General features: G+C 46.3%; 1 long non-coding RNA gene across 3 annotated transcripts in view, besides 5 other annotated features; it reads left to right on the top strand.

The window, feature by feature from the left end:
* The window catches only part of LOC105376815 (uncharacterized), an 83,235-nt gene that overhangs the window by 33,463 nt on the left and 25,088 nt on the right, over nt 1–24,684 (top strand). For 2 of the 3 annotated variants that reach the window (XR_001737918.2, XR_001737919.2), the window contains exons 1-2: nt 10,424–10,708; nt 20,907–20,976. This is a non-coding gene — a long non-coding RNA (uncharacterized LOC105376815). Of the gene's footprint in view, nt 1–10,423; nt 10,709–20,906; nt 20,977–24,684 lie in introns of those variants that run through there. The other variant, XR_947015.2, reaches the window with a different exon arrangement.
* Nucleotides 5,124–6,035: an enhancer, noted in NCBI's record as "H3K27ac-H3K4me1 hESC enhancer chr1:19338425-19339336 (GRCh37/hg19 assembly coordinates)". NCBI's record gives its function as "activates a minimal SCP1, AML or CMV promoter by ChIP-STARR-seq in naive H9 embryonic stem cells {active_cell/tissue: H9 hESC(naive)}" and the evidence as "EXISTENCE:reporter gene assay evidence [ECO:0000049][PMID:30033119]".
* Nucleotides 6,110–7,309: an enhancer, noted in NCBI's record as "P300/CBP strongly-dependent group 1 enhancer chr1:19337151-19338350 (GRCh37/hg19 assembly coordinates)". NCBI's record gives its function as "activates an origin of replication core promoter dependent on BRD2, BRD4, P300/CBP, MED14 and CDK7 cofactors, with strong dependence on P300/CBP, by STARR-seq in HCT116 cells {active_cell/tissue: HCT116}" and the evidence as "EXISTENCE:reporter gene assay evidence [ECO:0000049][PMID:35650434]".
* Nucleotides 6,635–6,694: an enhancer, noted in NCBI's record as "active region_294". NCBI's record gives its function as "activates an Ori minimal core promoter by ATAC-STARR-seq in GM12878 lymphoblastoid cells {active_cell/tissue: GM12878}" and the evidence as "EXISTENCE:reporter gene assay evidence [ECO:0000049][PMID:35858748]".
* Nucleotides 9,038–9,681: an enhancer, noted in NCBI's record as "H3K27ac-H3K4me1 hESC enhancer chr1:19334779-19335422 (GRCh37/hg19 assembly coordinates)". NCBI's record gives its function as "activates a minimal SCP1, AML or CMV promoter by ChIP-STARR-seq in primed H9 embryonic stem cells {active_cell/tissue: H9 hESC(primed)}" and the evidence as "EXISTENCE:reporter gene assay evidence [ECO:0000049][PMID:30033119]".
* Nucleotides 16,565–16,765: a silencer, noted in NCBI's record as "peak97 fragment used in MPRA reporter construct". NCBI's record gives its function as "represses an SCP1 promoter by STARR-seq MPRAs in K562 erythroleukemia cells {active_cell/tissue: K562}" and the evidence as "EXISTENCE:reporter gene assay evidence [ECO:0000049][PMID:32103011]".

Below are 24,684 nucleotides of genomic sequence, written 5' to 3'. Positions count from 1 at the left end.
CAGTTCTTGGCTTATACAGTAAATGAGGTAACTTGGAGCCCAGCACAAAATAGGCACTCAGCAAATACTTCTCCCTCTCCTTCTCAGCATTTTTGAAACTAGAACCCAGGATCTATCTTTCTTTTTTTTTTTTTTTTTTTTTTTTTAGACAGGGCCTCACTTTGTTGCCCAGGCTGGAGCACAGTGGCGTGGTCACTTGTTCCTGCAGCTTCAACCTCCCCAGGATCATGTGATCCTCCCACCTCAGCCTCCAGAGTAGACTGGCTGATTTTGTATTTTTTTGTAGAGATAGAGTTTCACCATATTGACCAGGCAGGTCTCGAACTCCTGAGCTCAAGCGATCTGCTCACCTCGGCCTCCCAAAGTGCTGGGATTACAGGCATGAGCCACCACCCGGCCTCTTCTTCTTTTTATGTAACCATAATCCTTATTACTTTAATTAGTTAATTAATATTTGTACTAATTATAACATTATATTATGTATTATATTTACTTATATTAGTTCATGTTTATGTAATATGAATTATACTTTATGTTAATTATTTGTCACACTTTTCTAAGTAATTTATGAATGTTAACTTGTTTAATACCTTCTAGCCAAGAAAGTAAAAAAATTAGCTTGGATCGAGAAAATATAAACCTGGCCAGCTGTTGGTCAGTCTGGAAGGACAGACATCGATAAAGCTGGCTGCAAAGTTACCAGGAAACGTATTTCTCCCAAGGACACGCTGCAGCTGTACAAGGTCATAGCAGCTCGCATCTTTGAGTGACAACTGCTTTTTTACTCAATGAGAAGAAGCCTTGTTCTCTAAAATCAGACTACCGGAAACTTTGCTGTTTGAAATGTTGTAGGTAGGAATTTTGATGAGGGATGAAATGTATGAATGAAACACCAGGCTCTTGCCCTGAGGGTCTTAGTCACGTTGACAGAGGGGAAGCCCTGATTTCCAGCCCAGGTGCAGAGCTTCAGATAGCGCTTTCTGGATCCAACATTCCGAACCTAGCTTAATTTTGTAGTTTTCAAGGAAATAGAGCTCTGGGTCTAATTTGTGGTCCAGACTTGATGTTGATTTTTTAACACACAGTTCTGCTTTGCTTTGAGCCAATCAAAACATTGTTTCATTTACATTTTACCTGAATTCCATGCTGCTCCAAAATTCCATGATAGTACCATCCTGTCCTTTGTTTGGTTCCTCTGGTGTGTGTTATCCTTCATTGCAATGGGCCGATAAATCTGATTTTGTCAGGCTACAGGTGGTCTTACGTTGATTGGGCTAGAACGGAACTTTTTTTTTTCTTTTTTTGAGATGGAGTCTTGCTCTGTCGCCAGGCTGGAGTGCAGTGGCACCATCTTGGCTCACTGCAACCTCCGCCTCCCGGGTTCAAGCGATTCTCCTGCCTCAGCCTCCCGAGTAGCTAGGATTATAGGCACGTGCCTCCATGCCTGGCTAATTTTTTGTATTTTTAGTAGAGACGGGGTCTCACCATGTTAGCCAGGGTGATCTCGATCTCCTGACCTCGTGATCCGCCTGTCTCGGCCTCCCAAAGTGCTGGGATTACAGGCGTGAGCCACCACGCCCGGCCCAGGACAGAACTTTTAATCCTCAAGTTCAAGGCTGCCCTCAATAACCCTGAGCTGCCTGTTACCCCTAGTCCAGGCTTCTCAAACTTGAGTTTGCATCAGGAGAACCTGGAGAGCTGGGTCAAGCATAGATTGCTGGCTCCTGACTCCCAGGGTTTCTGATTCAGTAGGTCTGGGTAGAACCTTAGAAGTTGCATTTCCAGCAAATTCCTAGGTGATGCTGATGCTGCTGGTTCCAGGGACCACATTTTGAGAACACTGCCCTAATTAACCGCATCATCCTACATAGTAGAGTTGTAAGGGTTAAGCGACAAGTGTGTGAAGAACTCAGTTCAGAACTTGGCATTTACTAAATACTCACTCATGTATGCTATTACTATTATTTTAAAATAAAGGACTCAGATTCTCCGATAATCCACTTCCCCCCTCCCAACACTCCATTCTTTCTTTTAATACAGTGACAAGTTACTCTTGTGGTCCTTTAACAGTTTATAGCTGGGGGGCAGGAGGGCACAGGCAATCAGCTAATTACAACACAAGGCTGAATGAAATAAGCTCCTTGCACACATTTTGTTGAAAACACAAATTTGGGCTAAGCTCAGTGGCTCACGCCTGTAATCCAGGCACTTTGGGAGGCTGAAGTGGGCGGATCAATGGAGCTCAGGAATCTGAGACCAGTCTGGGCAACATAGTGAAACCCTGTCGCTACAAGAAAATAAAAAATCAGCTGGGCGTAGTGGTGCATGCCTGTAGTTCTGCCTACTCCGGAGGCTGAGGTGGGAGGATCACTTGAGCCTGGGAGTCAGAGGTTGCAGTGAGCCGGGATCACACCATTGCACTCTAGCCTGGGTGACAGAGCAAGACTCTGTCTCAAAAAAAAGAAAAAAAACACAAATTTGGAGACATATTTTAAATATATAATGTTGTGTATTTGCCCCTACTGAGTATTTTTATCACCAACAGTTCACCATATCATTATTAGAAAACCTCCTAACTTTTGTATTTTTAGTAGAGATGGGGTTTTGCCATGTTGGCCAGGCTGGTTTCGAACTCCTGACCTCAAGTGATCCGCCTGCCTTAGCATCCCATAGGTATCTCTATGCTGAATTTTGAACAAATTCTATTGTTGTCCATTCTATTGTCGGAGATTTAATTTCTTCCAATTATTACTAATAAATAACTCTCCTCTGAAGGTTCTTGATATCTAAACTATTTGCTAGAACCACTAGTGACTTCCTTTGTTTGTTTGAGACAGGGTCTCCCTCTGTCACTCAGGCTGGAGTGCAGTGGCACGATCACAGCTCACTACAGCCTCAATCTAATATGTTGATATTTTTGTAAAGATGGGGTTTCACCATGTTGCCCAAGATGGGTCTCAAACTCCTGGGCGCAAGCGATCCTTCCACCTCTGCCTCGCAGAGTGCTGGGATTACATATGTGAGTTACCGAGCCCGGCCTACAAATGACTTCTTAGGAAGAAGCCTTCAAATAGGGAAGAGGACTGGGCCAAAGGGCATGAACTTTAAAAAGTCTCTTGACAGCTGTAGTCAAATTTATTTTCATCGTGGAACAGAAAGGTTGCTGGTCAAAGCTTCCAGATGGTGATATCTGTGCTCCTTTTGGCATATTTCATTCATCCTAAGCACCAGGCAAAGATGGCGGGGGTCTGAGCCGCAGCCCTCTGTCTGTTACCTGTCCATCTGTGCTCTTCCCTCCCTCTTGCTGCAAACAAATTAACATAGAGACCCGAAATCTCCCGCATCTATCTACCCTTTGAGTCCCTGCTCAGAGGGCAATCTTGGGCCAGTAGTTGCAGCTCAGTGAAGGCCTGAGTTTGGCTTCCTCTCACCGGTCCTTAATGGTGCATGAATTTTTTTAATGGGTTTCCTATGAAGCGCGAGGCAGTTATTTCCTGGTGACTTTTATTGAACCCAAAGCTTGACTGAAGTTTGAATAAACCGAGGCAGGTGGTAACAGAGCATGAAGTGGCTTAGTCTGTGGTCAGCCCTCATTTTAAAAATAAATCACTTTTCAAAGGGCGTAGTCACCTCCGCTACCATCATCAACGACAAACCAGACTTACCTGTGCACAGAGAGCCCTCACTGTGGGTGTGCAGCCGCCCTCCCCTGCCCTGTGCCTCGCCTGTTCAGTCCCGCCCTGATTCTAGTGACATGTCAATCCCACCCGAAAAACCATCCCAGTTGCCCCAGCTGAAATTAATCTCTCCACCCGTGAGAGCTGTACTTGGTGCTGAGGTCTTTATACAGCTCATCCCACTCATTGCTCACACAGCCCTACCAACACTTGGTGGTCCCATTTGATAGCCAAGAAAACCCAGGCTCTGAGCAGAGCGGGAACTTGCTCAAACAAGAAAGCAACAGAGCCGGGATTGGAAGGCAGGTCATCTGTCTCTAGAGGTCAGCTGCCTGTCCCTGCCCATGTCCAAGGGTCATTTGTGAATCATGTGCATGGCTTGGAATCTTTTCCTGCTTACGTTGCGGATGGAGCCCTGGTATGGGAACCCATGTCTGTTGTGTTTAATTATTATCTGGTACCTAGAATGCCCCACTGGCCATTCCCTGGATAACCTGGGCTTAGCACAGGGCTGGGCACAGAGCGGGTGCCAGAGATGCTTGAGGAATTGCTTTTTGCTTTTCCTTTTCCTTCCTTCTTCCATCCCTTTGTTCCCAAGGAATGATCTTGGATGATGATGGTTGTTGCAAGAAAAATATATCGAGGAAGGGGAAATGTCTTCATCTCCACCCTTATAGATCAACTTTTTGTTATTTTTTTTTTTGAGACAGAATCTTGCTCTGTCGCCAGGCTGGAGTGCAGTGGTGGCATCTCAGCTCACTGTAAGCTCCGCCTCCCAGGTTCAAGTGATTCTTCTGCCTCAGCCTCGGGAGTAGCTGGGATTACAGGCGCGTGCCACCACATCCAGCTAATTTTTGTATTTTTAGTAGAGACGGGGTTTCACCATGTTGGCCGGGATGGTCTTGATCTCTTGACCTTGTGATCTGCCTGCCTCAGCCTCCCAAAGTGCTGGGATTACAGGTGTGAACCACCGTGCCTGGCCTGTAGATCAACTTTTTATATAGAGAGAGACCTGAGTTATCTAAATCACTCATCCCTAAACCTACTATGATCTTAAAGAAAGCAATACAAACTTTAGGTAGTTCAATATCTAATATTCGTAAAAGTTGATGTAGCAGTTTAAGCGGTGACATGATACTTCCCAGAGTTCCATATGACAAGCACCATCCCCTCCCTTTTCCTATTTTCCTTTCCTTATGTATTTTCGGAGTGGCCCTCTGTGCCAAACACCAACCAGGCTGGGGATACAGTGGTGACATAGCCTCAGTTTTCTTGGTGCTCACTATTGGGTCAGGATGACAGATGGCTACTAGTCAGGGACCACCCAATAAGAGGTCATTATTGGCTGGGCGTGGTGGCTCATGCCTGTAATCCTAGCACTTTGGGAGGCCGAGGCAGGTGGATCACCTGAGGTCAGGAGCTCAAGACAAGCCTGGCCAACATAGTGAAACCACGTCTCTACTAAAAATACAAAAAAAGTAGCCAGGTGTGGTGGCAGATGCCTGTAATCCCAGCTACTAGGAGGCTGAGGCAGGAGAATCGCTTGAACCTGGGAGGCGGAGGTTGTAGTGAGCCGAGATTGCGCCATTGGCAACAAGAGTCTGGGCAACGAGAGCGAAACTGTGTCTCAAAAAAAAAAAGTCATTATTTAGCATATTTGTAAGACAAATATTGTCTGGATCGCGGACCTGAATTTTCTTCTACTTCTGGAACAAAAGGGTAGGCACCATCGCCAGTGTGTGATTTGCTTTTCAGCAGTCGTCCAGGAATTCCACTGCCCCTCCTAGGCTACCCCCTGGTGGCCTCACGGATGCCGTTTCCTGGAAAGGCAAGTGCTGAGTTTAGCTGGGCTCAGGGAGGCCTCCCATGGGAAACTGTTGTTCTGTGTGTTGGGCTGAAGTTTACTGTTAACTCAAACCCAACCATGGTATTGTTTTTCAAATAACAGAAAAATAAAACTGATGGGTAGAATATTTTCAGTGATCAGTTTTTCGGTACCCACTGCTCTTTGTGTAGGTATATGATAGTGTCTCATCTAGCCCCAAATTAAGTTTAATCCATTGATGTTTCATAACGTTTGCTGCAAAGCCACTTGATCACACTGGGAGCTGCTGGTCTGGGATATCGGAGCAGGAAGCTGCCCTCAGGGCTGCCAGCTCAGTCATCTTCCCATCTTTCCTATGTCCGCAGTCCTCCTGGCCCCTCACTGCTCTGCCCCTGGTAAGCTGACCTTCCTGGCCTGGGATAAGCCACGGTTCTGCAGGGGCTCTGCTTGCCCCTTCTCTCTGCCTGGGTGATGGCTGGTCGTCTTTCCCATCTCCCACTCTGTTTGTGCCCTGGGAAGTCTTCCCTGTCCCACCCCTGCTCACCTCAGACTGGCTCAAGCCCCCATTGCAAGCTCTTAGAGCACCAGAGAGCTCCGCACTAATCACAGCTGTATTTTAATATTCACTGATGGGATCATTTGATTCACGTCTGTCTTTCCCACCAGAATATGAAACGTCTGAGGGCAAGAATCAGGAAAGCATGTGTGTGTGTCTGTGCTAATGTATGTATACACGTCGCATATACATGCTTGTATATGTGTATGTGTGTGTGTGTATGTATGTGCATATGTGCATATGTGTGTACATGTGCATATGTGTGTGTATGTGTGTTTCCTTACCATAATTTCCATTTTCTGGCATGGTACTTAACACTCACTAAGAACTCAGTAAATATTTTTGATTACATGAGTGCGTAGCATTGTATTTCTTTAGGATACTTTTGATAGTAGTGACTTCATTTTAGACACAGAGAAACTAAAGCCCAAAGATGTGACTTACATCCATCAAGATCCCGAAACTAGAAAGAGGCTGGGCTGGGATTTAAACCCAGGCCTCCAACTCAGCCCAGTGACCTTTGCACGACTCTGACTGCCAGCTCGCCTTGAGGTTTGGCGAGTTAAACAGAAGCAGAAAGTTCAGAGGAAATTTACCGCAAGGCAGAGCGTTTACCAGCCGATGACTTCACCTCCGCGGCAGTGAAAGGCTTTGCAGAAAAGCACTGAAAAGAAAATACTTTCGCAATGAATGAGCTGGGCCCGCCTGGCTCGGGCTGACTCACCAAGAAGTCTTCACTTTATAAGGACTTTACTGGGGCTCCCATAGGCATGCCTTTTTGCCCTGTATCTAGGTCTGGACAAGGGTAAGTGGTTGAACACAGGCTGCAGGGCGCCCAGCCTCGGCTGGACGCGGGCTCTGGTGGCTGCGTGTCTGGAGCCCTTGCCATCTCCTCCTGGTGTGTGCCTCCTCTATGCGGTGCCCGTCTCTCCAGCCATCCCCAGCCTGTACTTATAAACGGGTTGCGTTAATAGCACCCACCCAATTTCAGTGGATCTGGTTGCCAGATGCTCTCCTACATGTCTGGCTTCTGCAAAACCTTACCTGGTTAGGTCTGAGAGTCGAGTGTGTCCTGAGTGCTCACAAACCCCAGCCACAACCACCACCGACCCCTGCCCACTCCTCCTTTCTTTTGGCCACCCCTCTCCTCTTCTATGCTGTTTGCCCTTCAGGTCACTAAACAGGTCTGGCCACTGTGGCCGGTGTCCTCTGTGGAAATGTGGAGATTCATGCCAAGAGACTGTTTACTGAAGCTCCCCTCCCTCCCTGGGGCCATGGAGGTGTGTTCTCTGCAGATTTGGGGCAAATATTCCTCCCTGGGCAGCACTGCCCAGCCCCTGCCTGGGTCTCCCAAGAGCCACCTCTTCATGTGGCACACACCGGGCCCAATCCCATTTCCCTCCTCTCCTTCCAAGTGACCCCTGTCCCTGCGAGCTGCTCATACAAATGGATGCTCGTGTGCTGCCCAGTCCCGCTGGCTGACCCATCAGACAGTCCTGGGCCATGTTTTGATTGCTGGCAGTGAGAGATACAGAAGGCCCAGCCACTTCCATGCACCCTGAATGCTCCTTACAAACACCTTGGGAGGTCCGATTATTACCCGCCCCTCTCAGAGATGGAGAAGCTGAGGCTCAGACAGGCAAAGGAATCTGCCAAGGTCTCACATCCAGAACAGGCAGGGCATCACTGATCCCACTCTCCTGCCCCAGTCACCACGGTGTGATGCATTTGCCTGTGAGCCCAGCCTGCAGCGGAGGTTCACATGTGGGGTCAGAAAGGAGAGCCCTGTGACAAGAACGCTAGGAATGCAGGAAGGGGCCTTGAGGTGACCTCAGGAATTCTTGGCGCCCGCCAGGACAAATGATGGGAATAGCTGGGAGGGTGACATCCCACCTTGGTAGCCAGTCGTCACCAGCAGCATGCATTTGTGCTCCATCAGGGCTGGAGAATGACTAAGCTGAGGGCTGAGGGTTAGGAAGAAAAAGAAAGCATGGATGTGGCCCAAGGCCACAAGCTCTCTCAGGGGAGAGAAAGGACAGGTGTGAGCTAAGCAGTGACCCCGCAGTCCCCTGAGAGCCAGTGCCTGCTGCCGAGCGAGGGCACTATATGTCGTCACCTGGTGTCCATTCCCCAGGTTGGGGAGCAGACTTCCAGCTTTGCGCCCCATTTCAGCTGTTTCCCAGCTGTGGACCTTGGGCAAGTCACCTCCCCTTCCTGCGCCTCGGAGTCTCATCTGTAAAACGAGAATGTGAGATCCCCTACTTCATAAGGGAGTGGGGAAGATGAAATGAGACAGAGTCGTACGGGACTTGGCACATTGTGGGTGTTCAGTAAATGCAGGTTTCTCTCCTTTCACCACATGGATAGCAGCGTCAATTTCCATCTGCTTTGAAGAGAGACAAACCCAAGTTTGAATCCCACCTCTACCATTTCCTGGCTGTTTAATCTTGAGAAGCTATCTCCCCTCCCTGAACCCCAGCTTCATCTGTAGCGATGTGAATAACGCCAGCACACTTTAGGTCTTGTAGCAAGGCTCACCTAAGACAGTATGTCACGATTTCTAACAGTTTTCAGGCTCTCAGCCCAGGGTCCCGGGGTCTGGGGGGGACGGAGTTGTTCCATTTCCAACAAGCTCTTGGTGATGCTGGTACTGTGGATCTGGGGACCACACTTTGAGTCAAGTGGTGACGGAGGAAGGCCAGTGGGAGGGTGGGGGGGGGTGGAACAGAGGCAGCAGCTGGGAGACTTTTAGGTGGGCCATTGCCTTCAGGATGCCACCTGACTGAATTGGAGCTCAAGAGTATTTGGCAATGAATTAATTAATCTACTTATTTGTTTGTGCAACAAATAGATATTAAGTATCTTTTGCCATTACTTTTAATGCAAAACTAATTGCATGAATTACAATGAAAAGTAATGGCTGGCTGGGTGCAGGGGCTCACGCCTGTAATCCCAGCACTTTGGGAGGCTGAGGTGGGTTGATCATGAGGTCAGGAGTTCGAGACCAGCCTGACCAATATGGTGAAACCCTATCTCTACTAAAATACAAAAATTAGCCAGGCGTGGTGGTGCGCATCTGTAATCCCAGCTACTCAGGAGGCTGAGGCAGGAGAATCGCTTGAACCCGGGAGGCAGAGGTTGCAGTGAGCCAAGATTGTGCCATTGCACTCCAGCCTGGGCAATAGAGTGAGACTTTGTCTAAAAAAAAAAAAAAAAAGTAATGGCAAAAACTACTTAATGTTTTCGTTTTTGCCATGACTTTTAATGCAATTAATGCAATTACTTTTGCACCAACCTAATATATCAGTGCTGGGGTAGGGAGTCAGTTCCTGTCCTCTTGGGGTCTTAGTGCAGAAGGGGTCAGGAGGTGCTTTTTACACCCCAATCCCCACGAACTGTGGTTGCCCCAGCAGAGGCCACCATGAGTTCTAAGACAGGGCACTCACCCCAGCCTGAAGGTCAGGGGAGGCCAAGCTTGAGGTCCTAGGACGAGGACAAATCACCCTGTGGAGGAGGGTGGGAGAGGTGTCCGGGCAGGAGAGGTGTCTGGGCAGGTGTGGTGTGGTAAGCAAGTCACAGAGACACGCAGCCAAGACAGAGTCTATGTCTCCACCATTGTTTGACAGTCTCGTGAGGAGGCTTGGGAGGCAGGGAGAGTTGGAGTCACTGCTGTGCCCTGGCCGCCCTGTGTCACCGACATGCTATGTGACTTCTCTAAGGGACATCCCCTCCGCTTCTGTAAGGTAGAGGTGAGGATGCCTGTCTGAGTGCTTTAGGGAGGAGAAGGTTGAAAGAGACCACAGCAGTCAGGAGTCTGGCTCCTAGCAGGAGGTCAGCTACTCTCAAATCCCCTCGTGACGACAGGGAAATCCACTGTCCAAGTGTGGGGTCCTCATCTCCCTGTGGCCTCCATGGGTGGGCAGGGGTCCCCTGCCCTGTGGTGCTCACCATGCCTCCTCGACCCCGATCAGGTTGTCAGATGAGGAGGGAGAGCATGCCAGGGTCCCAGGGAGACTGGTTTGGTCAGAGCCTCAGCCCCTAAACCCCTTGTCACAGCCTGGCAAGAGACCAGAGACCTGGCTGAGATAACAGGGTTATTGCCACAAACAGACTCCTCCAGATAAAGAGGGAAGAATAAGAACCTTGTTTGTCCTCTCCTGGCCTGACACCCAGTAGCATTCTACCTCCCAGATGGCTGGGCTGCTGTGACCCAGGGCTGACCTGACTTCAGAACTGCCTCTTGGTGCCCACCCTCCTCTGGCCCACTTCCCACTCCCCACTCCTGACCCCACCTGCTTATCTGTTTATTTTTCCCATGAGAGTTTATGTATTTTCCCAGAGGGTGCAGTGTGGTGTAGGAGAAAGGGCATGGAAATCCACAGGAGGTCTGAGCTTGGATCTCTGGGATCCAGTCCTCTGGGTGGGCTGCTTACCTCGGGGGTGACCCACTGTCCTGGTTTGCCTGGGACTAAAGGGGTTCCTGAGACATGGGACTTCCAGTTTTAGAACTGGGACAGTGCCAAGAAACTGGGGATGTGTTGATCGCTCTGTTTACCTCTCTGAACCTCAATTTGCTCATATCTAAAACCAGGATAGTTACTATCTGTCGGAGGACGAAATGGGATAATGCAGGGAAGCATCTAGCACATGGTGAGTCCTCAGTGATGGTTTTGGTTATTTATTTCCCTGCCTGGAGGAAATTGCAGGGCCTTGACCTTGCATTTCTCACCTCCCTATTCCCAGGAACTTTTCTCAACAGTGCATTTGAGAACTCACTAAACCCATCTGTTGTACTTTGCCCCGAATGGCTTTCGATTGACAAAGTTCAAGCAATAGAGACAGCTTAGTAAAGGGAGACAGATGGAAAATCAGGAGACTGGGCCCACTCTTGACTCTGCCACTAACTTGCTGTGTGACCTTGGGGAAATTGCTTTGCCTCTCTGGGCCTCCATTTTTCCATCTACAAAATGGAAGATTGGACTGGATAGTGCTAAGTGTACCTTCCAGCTGTAACATGCAGTGATTCTGCAGTACTGATGCTCATTACCCTGTGAGCTGCAATGGGGGAGTTAGGAAGGGAGGGAGATCTGGTTGATCCTGGTACAGGGGTGAAGGGGGAGGAGGGACAAACTTCTGGTGCCTCCACAGGCAGCAACTAAAATATGAAAAATGGCATCAGATGGACAATGACAAGGGCAACTTAAAGACAGTGCAATTGGTTGATGTCTGCAAAGCAGCCCGGGACCAGGCCCCTGGGCATTCCTTTACTTAAATTATTCCTTTGCTCATTCATTTGTTCCCTCCTTCATTCCTATCTTTATTTGTTCATTCATTTATTCATTCATTCTTCTGCTGAGTGACATCGTAGCATAACGATGGATAGCATGGACTCTGAAGCCAGTTTGCCTGGGTTTGAAGCCCAGCTCTGCCATTTAGTTCTGTGACCCTGACAAGTACCTTGACTTCTCCGTGCCTCTGTTTCCTGATCTGTAATCAGTGTCTGGCATTTGGAAAGTGCTACATACATGTTTGCAATTATTGTTTGTTTATTCTTTCACCATTTGCTAGAAGATGGCTATGTGACAGGCACTGGGCTGGGTGGCCACCAGCGAATCAGGGGAAGTCACAAAGGGTTAAATAGGTAATTACTAAGTCATGTGGTCAGCGTTGTGGTGCGGGTAAGCACAGGGTGCTATGGAAATGCAGAGGAAGGGCACCTAACCTGGATGGGTTGGGCTAGAGAGGAGGAGTGTTCCAGAGAGACTTCCTGGCAGAGGTGATATCTGACCTGGGTTAGCCTGTGAGCTGCAGTGGAGGAACTGAGGAGGTTAGCCAGGAGGTGAAGGGGGTGGGGTGATGGGAACCTCTTGGAGGGGAATGGCTTGGAGGGGAGAATACGGATATTCAGGGAACAGATATGGTTTGGTGCGGCTTGCTGGGGGATGGGTGTGTTACTCCGTTTTCATGCTGCTGATAAAGACTACCCGAGACTGGGTAATTTATAAAGAAAAAGAGGTTTAATGGACTCACAGTTCTATGTGGCTGGGGAGGCCTCACAATCATGGCAGAAGGCAAAAGGCATGTCTTACATGGTAGCAGACAAGACAAAATGAAAACCAAGCCAAAGGGGTTTCTTCTTATAAAATCATCAGATCTCGTGAGACTTATTCACTATCACGAGAACACTATGAGAGAAGCCACCTCCGTGATTCAATTATCTCCCACCAGGTCCCTCCCACAACACATGGGAATTATGGGAGCCACAATTCAACATGAGATTTGGGTGGGGACACAGCCAAACCATATCAGTGAGGGAGGTGGCAGATGAAACTGGAGGGAGAAGCAAAGCCTTGACTATGCTGGACATTCCAGGACTGCTAAAGAGGAAATATTTTATCAGCTGGACTAGTGTTTCCAACCTTTAGAAGCATGCTGGAAATAAACCCTCCATTATATGGAGATTTATTTATAACTAAGTTATATACGTGCACTACTGTACACTTGTATCATATACACTATAAGACACACAAAAATAGAAAAATGAAAAACATGAGATAAAAAAAAAATACATGTAGGTTGGGCATGGTGGCTAACAGCTGTAATCCCAGTGCTTTGGGAGGCAAAGGTGGGAGGATCACTTGAGGCCAGGAGTTCAAGACCAGCCTGGGCAATATAGGGAGACTCCATCTCTACAAAATAAATAAATAAATAAAATTAGCCAGGCATAGTTGCATGCACCTGTAGTCCTAGCAACTCGGGAGGTTGAGGCAGAAGGATTGCTTGAGCCCAGGAGTTTAAGGCTACAGCGAGCTATGATGAGAAAAAAAGGAATACATATAAATAGAACCTCTGCTACTCTTTCTCCCTAAGCCGATGGCTTTTCCTACGCGTCCCCTGGATTCCCCTCCACCCCACTTTTGAGCTTACTACTTAATACCATGGGGTGCCTGAAGGGATGGAAATGGAAGAGAGCAGGTTTTTTACCTTTAAAAGACCACTTAGATATTTATATTCACTGGTATTCCTATAGTCATTAAAATGAAGACATAGCTGTCTATTATTAACATCAAAAGGTGCTAATCTATTAAACAGACAAGTTGTAGGGAGACCAACCATCCCGGTTTGCCCAGGACTGAGTGGTTTTCTGGAACACAGGAGCTTCAGTGCAAAAGCCAGGACAGTCCCAGGTAAACTGGGTCACCCTAGTTGTATGTCTGGAATAATCCCATTTGGTGAAAAACATAAATGTGGCCAATGCGGTGGCTCATGCCTGTAATCCCAGCACTTTGGGAGGCTGAGGCGGGCGGATCACAAGGTTAGGAGTTCGAGGCCAGCCTGGCCAACATGGTGAAACCCAGTCTCTATTAAAAATACAAAAATTAGCTGGGTGTGGTGGCTACTCCGGAGGCTGAGGCAGGAGAATCGCTTAAACCTGGGAGGTGGAGGTTGCAGTGAGCCGAGATCTCTCCACGGCACTCCAGCCTAGGAGACAAGAGCAAAACTCTGTCTTGGAAAAAAAAAGAAAAAAGAAAAACATAAATGAACATTTAGGAAAGGGTCAGAAGTCTGGTGATCCAAAATGTTAACATTGGTTATTGCTGGATGGTGATGGGCTTTTGATTTAAGTTAAAATTTGTTTTTACTTCTATTTATTAATGTATTTTGAGTTTTGCTTGCTTGTATTACACATTTTTTGACATGATATATGTACTGTTGTGTGACTTTTAAGACCTGAAAAACAAAGTTGAGAGTCCATTGGCCAGCGGGGCTGAGCATGGTGGGGAGGCAGGACCAGCTGCCGGGGAGGGATGAGGAGGCTGGAGAAGATGACGAGAAATGAGAAGGGGCTTGGACTTGGCAGTGGCGGTGAGGAGGGAAGAGAAGACGGGTTGGAGAGATCAATGAGAGAGAGACTTCACAGGGCTCAGTGACTGACTAACCAAGGGGAGACTGAAGGAGAGGCAGAGTTGAGGATACCTGTAAGTTTCTGGGTGGTGTCATTAACTAAGATGGATCATTCAGGATAAACAACTGTTTTGAGAAGGAGGTTATATAAAGGCGGAGGCTCTGGGAGGCTGGGGACATGCTGTTGGTTTGGTTTTGGACACACTGAGGTGCCCAGGGGACACCCAAGATGAGGTAGAGGAGTGGGATTTATCACAGGACTCAGGGAACTGGCTATATACTGGCCAGTTTCTTTAACGCCACTATTATCAGTGCTTTCTCTTTGAAAGTCCTCCATTGACGTGCTCCTCTGGCCTGGAAGTCCTGTCTGATTCATGGCCTGGTTTGAAAGAAGTTAGGTCTTAAGGCACACTAGAGTAATCCATCGCTATCACTCCTCCGCAGCAAAGATGACTCATTTGCATCACATACAAAATTTCTCTTTTCTATCTTTGAGTTGAAAGAACTTGTGCATTCTCTTATCTTTTTTTTTTTCTTCTCCAGAATCAGTGTGGTGACTTCAGTCCTTTGAAATATATTGAGACTTGTTTACAGCCCAGCCTTTGGCGTATCTTGTTGGATGCTTTGTGTGCCCTTGAAAATAATGTGTACTCTGTTGTTGGGTGGGGTGTTCTATAAATGTCACTTAATTCAAGTTGGTTGACAGTGTTCAAGTCTTCTGGATCCTTGGTGACTTTCTGTCTACCTGTTCTATCAATGACAGAAATGTTGACATTTCAGACTCCAAGTATGGATTTGTCTGTTTCTCTTTTCAGGTGTGTCAGTTTTTGCTTCAAGTATTTTGAAGCTCTGTTATTAGGTGCATACATATTTAGAAGGGTTATATCCTCTTGATTAATTGATCCCTTTTTCATTAATAAATGTCTTTCTTAATCTCTGATAATAACCCTCGTTCTTAAGTCTACTATATCTGGTGTTATTATAGCCACTCCAGCTTTCTTAAAATTAGTGTTTTCCTAGTATATACTTTCTCATCTTTTTACGTTTAACTCATCTGTGTCTTTATATTTAAAGTGGGTTTCTTGTAGACAGCATATAACTAGGTCTTGTTTTTTTTTAAACTCCGATGTGACAATCTCCACCTTTAAATGTAACTATTTAGATAATTTGCTTTTAATGTAATTATTGATATGATTGGGTTTAAATACTCCATCTTTCCATTTGCCTTCTGTTTATCCCATATCTTCTTTGTTCCTTAATTTCCATTTGCTTGGCTCCTTTTTATTAATTATTTTAAAAAAAGATTCCATTTTATTTTCACTGTTTCACTGTTTTTTGTTTTTTTTTTTTGGTGGTTGCTTTAGGGTTAATGATATGCATCTTTAGGATCCAGGTGCGTGGCTCATGCCTGTAGTCCCAGCAACTCAGGAGTCTGAGACAGGAGGATCACTTGAGCAGAGGAGGTTGAGGCTGCAGTGAGCCATGATCATGCCACTGCACTCCTGCCTGGGTGAAGGAGGGAGATCCTGACTCTAAAATAATAATAATGATAATGATAATAATAATAACATGCACTTTAACTTATAATGTTCACAAAATATTATGCCATTTTACATATTTGTTAGTCAAGGCTCAATCAGAGAAACAGAATTGCTGAGAGAGATTTATTATAGGAATTTGTCCTTATACAATGATATGGAGTTGGCTAAACAGTCTATAAAAGGCTATTTTTTATGTGTCTGGTGCTGCTATACTGACAGTGCAGAGGAGGCAACTAGGAAGGGGAGATGTGTTTAAATTGGGAAAGAATAGGAAAAGAGCCGCAACAAACTAGAACTTGCGTGTGGTCTCTCACCTCTTCCATGAGGCCAACTTCAATGATAACATAGCCTATAAGAGAGGGTGAGGCTTTTCATCATGAAGCTAAACACACACTTGGTCTGGAGTCAGGGATACTGAAGGATGACCCAGCAGGAACTGGGAGAGCTGTGGGCCCAGCTGCTGCCTCATGACAATGAGGTGACCCAGCAGTTAAGTGCCAGTATATGTGAGCTGCAACAGCACCTGGTGTCCCTGCCCCAGCTTTCTGAGATTAAAAAAAAACAAAAACAAAAACAAAATGTAAGCTGCTACTGCTTTGCTCTACCTTGCAAATGTTGTGTGAATGTCTCTAGTGATCCATGCTCATTCAAAACTATACAGAGAAAGGAATTCTAAGAAATGTAGCTAAGCTTAATTGACACAACAAAAATAAACTACAACAGATGTTGTAAGAAACTTAGAAATACTTCCATTCCCCATTCTATTTTGTGTGATATTGTTGTAATATATTTTGCTTTTATGTACCTTATAAACCCCCATACACTGATATTATTTTTGCTTTAAATAGGTATATTTTTAAGAAGTTGAAAAATGAGGGAGAAACCTTTTACATCTACTGACATGTTTCCCATCTCTGGCACTCTTTAGCCCTTTGTGTTGATTCATGTTTCCACCCAGTATCATTTATCTTTCACTTGAAAAATTTCCTTTACCATTTCCTGTAGTGCAGGTCTGCTGGTGACAAATTCTCTCAGCTTTTGTTTTCCTGAAAGAGTTTTTATTTCTCTGTCTCTCTCTCTTTTTTTTTTTTAAAGGGTATTTTTGCTGGATGTAGAATGCTAGGTTGACAGTTTTTTTTTTCAACACTTTACAGAGGTTCCATTGTCTTCTGGCTTGCATAGTTTTTGATGAGAAATCTGTGAATTTTTGTCATAATTTCTCCATATGTAACATGTCTTTTTTTCCTGTGTACTCTTAAGATTTTCTAGCTGAGTGTGGTGGCTCACGCCTGTAATCCCAGCACTTTGGGAGGCCGAGGCAGGTGGATCACGAGGTCAGGAGATGGAGAACATCCTGGCTAACACGGTGAAACCCTGTCTCTACTAAAAATACAAAAAATTAGCTGGGCCTGGTGGTGGGCGCCTGTAGTCCCAGCTACTTGGGAGGCTGAGGCAGGAGAATGGCATGAACCCGGGAGGCAGAGCTTGATATACTTTGGTGTGGAGTTTTATGTTTATTCTGATTGGGGTTTGTTGAGCTTCTGGGATCTGTGGGTTTATTGTTTTTATCAAATTTAGAATATTTCCAGCCATTATTTCTTCAAATATATTTCCTGTTACTTTCTCTTCCCCTCTCCTTCTTGAATTTCAATTACATATATGTTAAACCATTTAATGTCTTATTTCAGGTCACTAAGCTCTGCTCATTTTTCCCTCCAGGCTTTTTTATTCTCTCTGTGCCTCACTTTAGATAAATTCTATTGCTATAACTACAGGGCCAATGAGCTTTTCTTCTGCAGTGTCTGATTTCCTGGGAATTCCATTTAATGAATTTTTCATTTTAGACTTATATTTTTTTCCCCTCTAGAAATTTCACTTAATTCTTTTTTATATTTTCAATTTTCCTTCTCATTATGATGATCTTTTCCCATAAATACTTCAACATACTTGTGATAACTATTTTGACATATTTGTGTACTAGTTCCATCATTTCTGTTATTTCTGGGTACACTTCTATTGACTCATTTTTCTTCTGACCATGGGTCACATTTTTCTGCTTCTTGGTATATATAGTAAGTTTTGACCGGATGCTAGATTTTGTGAATGTTACATTGTTGAGAGTCTCAATTCTGTTGCCTTCCTTTAAAAGAATGCTGGGCTTTGTTCTAACAGGCACCTAAGTTATTTGCAAGTCAGTGTGAGCCCTTTGAAGCCTGTTTTTAAGCTTTGGTATGGCTGGTCTGAACTGGCCTTCATGCTAGGGATAGCTCAGCTTGTGGCTAAGGCCTGACCTCTATGGATTCTCTGCTGAATAGGTTTTTTCTTCTCCTTCTCCTCCATCTCTTCCATCTCCTCCTTCTCCTCCCGCTCCCCTCCCCCTCCCCTTTCCTCCTCCTCCTCCTCCTCCTCCTCCTCCTTCTTCTTCTTCTTCTTCTTCTTCTTCTTCTTCTTCTTCTTCTTCTTCTTCTTCTTCTTCTTCTTCTTCCTCTTCTTCTTCTTCTTCTTCTTCTCCATCTTCTCCTTCTTCTTCTCCTTCTTCTTCTTCTCCTCCTTCTTCTCCTTCTTCTTCTTTTTTTTAATAGAGACAGGGTCTTACTATGTTGCCCAGGCTGGTCTCAAGCTCCTGGGCTCAAGTGATCCTTCATCCTTGGCCTCCCAAAGTGCTAGGATTATAGGTGTGAGCTACCATGCCCAGCCTTGACTGGGTTTTCAATGAGTTCTAACCACTCTAAATGACTGCAGTGTCTCCTGGTCTGTGCCAACTCTGGAAATTGTTCAGCTTGCAACTTTCCAGCTGTTCTTTGCCCAGTCTCATAGGGTTTGATCCCATGTATGTGTGACCTAGGACTCAGAAACAACTCAAAAACATCCCATGCAGATTTCTGGAGTTTATTTTCTGCATAGTGTTTTCCTTTCTGGAACTGTGCCACGCAACTTCTGGCTGAATCCCTGAATTCCAGTCTCCAAATCCTCAGTTCTGCAAGAGTACTATATTCTGCTTGGTATGCCTCGCCCCAAGCCATGATCTGGAATATAACTTCAGGAAGAAAACCAAGGCAAACATAGGGCTCCTTTCATTTGTTTATCTTCTCTTAGGAGTCACATTAAGTCATTCCTGTTTTTCAATGATTGAAAAAAGTTATTTCATGGACTGTTTTTTTGTTTGTTTGTTTTGTTTTGTTTTCTTTTTGAGACAGAGTTTTACTCTTGTCACCCAGGCTGGAGTGCAGTGGCACAATCTCAGCTCACTGCAACCTCCACCTCTCTGGTTCAAATGATTCTCATACCTCAGCCTCCAAGTAGCTGAGATTACAGGCATGTGCCACCATGCCCCCCCAATTTTTTTTTGTATTTTTAGTAGAAACGGGGTTTCACCATGTTAGCCAGGCTGGTCTCCAACTCCTGACCTCAGGTGATCTGCCCACCTCAGCCTCTCAGAGTGTTGGGATTACAGGCGTGAGCCACCGCGCCTGGCTGGTTTTGTTCAGTTTTTTAGTTGCTTAGGGTGGGAAGGTAAGTCCAGTCCTTGTTACTCCATCACAGCCAGAAGCAGAAGTCAGGAACTGATATGTAGAAAAGCCATTGAATGACTCCATTTAAATGATGCCCCTCTCTCATGAAGCTTTTCTTAATTTCTGTCTCTTCTGTGTGTATTACCATCACATTCTGCTTTGACATATTAATATAATCACATACATATCTGACTGTCTCAGTGGACTCTAAGGGGCTCAAAGGTGGGGATGGGGTCTCTCTCTTCTTAGTATTAGTAACTTTCTTGAACCTAGCATGTGATAGGCCTTTAGAAAGTGAGGTTGGATTTCCTTCTGTGGCTTAGCAGTGAACTGAAGTGACCCTGATGAGGCAATGGGTATCTCAAGCTGAAACCCAGGAGGACTGGCTCGCTCTCCTGTGTAATCACCAGTAGGCAGAGCCCCAGGTAAAATCACAAGGGTGCATGATTCTCCCTTATTAGGCGAGGAAGTGGAGGATTGGTTAAAAGAATCCAGGCCTGTCCAGACTTGCAAAACACATCATCCTCACATTAGAATCCACGAAGCCTCTGGTTTTGATGCAGTGGAAGGGCTTGACCACAAGTGCCCTGACAGTGTCAGATAATCTTCTACGGGGGGACCAGACCAACCTCCGAGGAGCCTAGCGTCCACGAGCTGAGGCTGCTGCCGCTCCTGCGCCCTTCTTTAGAATGGAGTGAGGACAGGGAGTAGCAAGGCCTGGCCACTAGTCCTAGCTTTGTGACCTTGATCAGCTGACTGGGTTCCCCTAACTGCAGAATGAAGCCTCAGACAGGATGGTCTCTAAGGCTCTTTTCCCACCCTAAACAGCTGAGTTCTGGCAACTGATGATTGATGGTCCTGGAAGCCTGTGGTTCCTTGAGCTACTGATTCTAGGATGCTAGTAATTGATGGTTCTGAGACACTGGATTTCTGTGGCTCTGTGACTAGAACAATCTGTGGCTCAAACAATCCATGAGGCTGCGGCCCTCACACTCTATGGTTCGGATGACCACAGTCAGTAATGATTCTGTGCACCCTGCAGCATGCCTCCGTGACCCTGGAGCATCCACTGCTCTGGTCTTCATCAGTGGCCATGGAATGGGTATTCCTAGGATCCAGTCTTCTGTCTGCTCAAGAAGAACCCAAACCTGCTCCCCATTCATTGTTCCCAGGGTCATTAATTCTGAGTGATTCACTTACAGGAGGCAGAGAGAAACAGAGGTGCAGGGAATGCCAGCCCGGCTGCCCTTGGCCTGAAAGGGTTGAATTGTCTGCCTGCCTGAGAGAGCCATTGTGCTTGGTTGTCTGGTGCGGGCCGGGCTGGGTTGGGCTGGCAGCAGGGCCAGGCACCGCAGCACCATGCCCATTCTAGGGAAAGGTTCTGCCCTCCCAGCCCATCATCCGGCATGTGGCTTCTTTAGTGATACTGTGCCCCACCAGGAGGGGTGAGCAGGAGGGCAGAGGAAGAGCCCATTGCTGATTCTGCTTGCCAAGGTTCTTGGGTCTACTTCTTACTGGGTTGTGCCTGTTTTGCCATCCCTGGGTGATGCCCCTGATTCTTCCTGGTTCCTAGCCTGACTCTGCCTGGGACACACCCTGTGGCTCTCTGGAGGTCTCTGGACCTGGCTGTGCTGCCTAGCTGGGATCCCTTGCCGTGTGTTTATTTCCATGTTATTTCTGCCTAAATGAGGAGTAGGATGCTGTTTCCTGACCTGTGGATTTGGGACAAACCCCTAACGATTCCATCCCTGAACCATGGTGACTTAAGGTTAGATCCCAATACACAGAAGTAGGCTGAAGGAGAAAGTGAGAAGAATAGGTAAGCCCCTGACTCTGCCACCCATTTCCTGTGTGACCTTGGGCAATTCACTTCCCCTCTCTATGTTGCAGGCTCTTCAACCTGTAAAATGGGAGGGTAGTGCCTACTTCACCATAGCCGTGGGGAGAAGCCCGTGAAAACGTGAGTAAAAACAGGCTCTGTGGACCAAGGGTGGGTTATTGTTGCGGAAACAACGGGGCTTGTTCTCCAGAAACACACGTGGTGAGCCCACATCCTAGACCACACCTCTTAGGTGGTGTCCAGATATTGTGGAAGTGTTGGTGGGCACCCAGATCTGCCTCTCATGGTAGGAATCACAGACTCTTTCTTTCTGAGAGGACAGAATGTGATCAGGGGAAATTCATTCATCCATTCATCTCTATGTTCTGTAGTTCACTCTTTCATTCATTCATTCATTCATTCATTCATTCATTCATCATCATTCATCAAGCTCTGACTATTTGCCAGTCACTGTTTTAGATGCTTGTTTGTGTCTGAGAAATTCAACCTAGAGAAGAACTTACTGTACTCTGGACTCAGAGATGGGGGTAGTGGGTGGAAGTGGCCAAACTGACCCAGACTTCAGTCCTGCCTGGGAAAACAGTCCTCATAGGAGAATGTTGGAATCGGATAGGTGTGGGTCTCTGCCATTACTTACCTCTCTGTGTGACCTAGGGCAGATTACTTAGCCTTTCTGAGTCTCTGCTCCTCTGTAAGATGTGAAAAGCAATGGTGATCCCCTGCCAGGGTTTCTGTGAGGACTGAATCTAAATCGGGGCAGCCCCAAGTGTCTGAGTTTGGACTCTATAAATGATGCCTGTAAAGTGGAGGTTAAGGTCACAGGAATCAGATGAGCTGTGTTGAATCTCAGCTCTGCCACTTGTTGGCCAAGGGGACTTTGGTAAGTCACTTGGCCTGCCCTGCCTCAGTTTCCTCTTCTGTCAGATGGGGCTCATAGGTATTGTGAGGATTCAATTGTTAAAAATGTAGATCATGTAGCACAAACCCTGGCACATGGTAGACCTCAATCAATGGTGGCCAGTGGTATTAAATATTCCTCGTGATACCTGCGGGCCCAGCCATGAAGGAGCTTAGACTTCCTTCATAAACTTCTCAGGGAGGTGTGTGCTGCTGAGGGTATGCAAGATGAGCTTTGGTTTTTATGTGCATACATATTTAAAAATGGAATTTTTCTATAACTTATAGATACATAAATCTATACATTTTGAGAGTGAATAAAAAGGTTGGGGAACAACTACTCTCTGGGTGGAAGAGCCCCTCACCCCCTGCCCCTGCCCCATAAAGAATGTGGGTAGGATTCTGCGGCCTTGGACAAAGACTCTGGCCACATGGAAAACGGGGACTCATCTTGGAGCCTGGGATTTCTTTCTATGGAATGAGGCTGGGTGTCCCGCACCCCTTGCTCAGTTGGCCCCACCGGAATTTCTAGATTCCTAAGTCACTGGTGGAGTAGATACCTCTCCTCGCCCCTTGAGTTTCCTGGGATGGGTTTGGTCTCTGTTTGGGTGCCTTGTTGTGGGGTTTCCATGGGGCTGTCTGAGCTTGGTGATTGCACTGATCTCGGGGGCAACACCCCTGCTACCAAAGCCATCTTTGAGGAGGCTGCAGCCTTCCTTCCCGGGAGAGGTGGAGGGAGGAGGAGGAGGAGGAGGTAGGCACTCCCTGAGCGGTGTAGCAGTAACGGATCCTGACCTGTAGCCTTGGGCTCAGGATGAGCAAGAGGGGAGCCCCCTCCAGGGCCCTGTTGGTCTCTTGGGGAGCCGAGCGCTTAGCCTTCCTTGCTCTGAGGCCAGCTTTCTTTTCCCTGTCTGTTCCAATGTCTGACATCTCAGGCACCCAAGGGATCTGAGAGTGAATATGGGCCTGGTTTCCAGGCTCCAAAAGCATGCATGCATTCATTCACTCACTCATTCATTTGTCATTCATTCAAGATTTCACTGAGATTCACCTATCACATGGCAGGCCCTCCACTAGCATTTTGGGAAACAGTGGTGGACTCAGCAGATTCCAGCTCTGGAGCAGCCTACGGTCTGGAGAACCTGGTCCAGTTATAACCCAAATGGAAAGAGGATAGTGTTACAAAAATGATTTCATGTGTTTGTGTCATAGATGCCTTTAAGAAAATGATGCAAACTGAGAACCCTGGCCCCAGAAGAGGTAATAAGCACATGCACATGAAATTCTGCCTATGAGTTTAGAATGTTTATGGGCTCCCCAGACATCTATTTGAGAACCCCAGATTAAGGGTTCCTGAATTAGGCCAGGTGCGGTGGCTCACGCCTGTAATCCCAGCACTTTGGGAGGCCGAGGAAGGTGGATCACTTGAGGTCAGGAGCTCGAGACCAGCCTGACAAACATGGTGAAACCCCATCTCCACTAAAAATACAACAATTAGCCAGGTATGGTGGTGTATGCCTGTAATCCCACCAAATCAGGAGGCTGAGGTGGTAGAATTGCTTAAATCAGGGAAGCGGAAGTTGCAGTGAGCTGAGATCGTGCCACTGCACTCCAGCCTGGATGACAGAGCAAGACTCCTTCTCAGAAAAAGAGTTCCTGAATCGTAGTGGGAAAATTGCTGAGAAAGCCAAGCCAGGAGGCTGTAGGAGTGCAGATTTGGGGAAATGTTTCTTAGCCTATGAATTCGGGAAAGACTTCTTGAAGGAAGTCACATCTATTCATTCAACAAGCGATTATTGAGGGCCTACTAAATGCCATCCCTTGAGGATACACCACTGAAAAGGAAAGGCAGCATTCCCATTTTTCTGACGCTTACTATCTACTGGGGGTAAACAAGGAAATGAACAAGGAAATAGATGGACAAACACGAGAATGTCTGGAGGTGATGGAGAGGCTTAGGGGAAGATCAAGGTTAAATGCCAGGCAGAGGCAGTGAGGTTCAAGGAAAGGCCCGATGATGGGCATGAAAATGCTGTACTAAAGGATGTTTGAAAGGCCAGTGTGGCCAGAGCTTAGGGGATGGGATAAGATGGAGTTAGAGAGATAGGCAAAGACCTTGTGCCCCAGGGCAGGAAGTTAGGATTTTACCCCAAGCATAAAAAGAAGCCATTTTCCCTCTTTTTTCTTTTTTTCTTTTGAGACAGAGTCTCATTCTGTCACCCAGGCTGGAGTGCAGTTGTGGGATCTCAGCTCACTGCAACCTCCACCTTCTGGGTTCAAGTGATTCTCCTGCTTCAGCCTCCCAAGTAGCTGGGACAGGAATGCACAACCACATCCAGCTAATTTTTGTATTTTTAGTAGAGACAGGGTTTCACCCTATTAGCCAGGCTGGTCTTGAACTCCTGATTTCAAGTGATCCACCTGCCTCAGCCTCCCGAAGTGTTGGGATTACAGGCGTGAGCCACCGCACTTGGCTATTTTTCTTTTTTAAGTTTAGAATTTTAAATTTGCACAAATGGAAGCAGTGTGCACCTCCTGTCTTTTGATGGCCCACCTCTTTTCATCTGACAGTGTTTTATAGGTATAATTTTAAATTAGTTAATTTCTTTTTACCTACTATATAGAATTATATGGCACACACACATCATATTTTATTCATCCATTCTCATATTGATAGATGCTGAGGTCATACTTTGTTTTTTACCATTACAACTGATTCTGAAATGGAAAATTAATAGGTTGCAGAGTGTGCAGATGTTCAACATTATGAGAAGTTGTCACTCAGCTCTTCAAAGTTGTCATACTAATTTATATTCCCACTGGCAGCATCCAAAAGATCCCATTTCTTTATATCCTTGCCAACAGTTGGTAGAGTCAGCCTTTAAAATGTTTGACAATGTTTTGGATATAAAATGGTAACTCGTTTTCATT

Source organism: Homo sapiens, chromosome 1 (assembly GCF_000001405.40).
Source record: "Homo sapiens chromosome 1, GRCh38.p14 Primary Assembly".
Lineage (NCBI taxonomy): Eukaryota > Metazoa > Chordata > Mammalia > Primates > Hominidae > Homo > Homo sapiens.
Note: the sequence above shows the minus strand (reverse complement) of the source record. Positions and strands in the feature narration are given on the sequence as shown.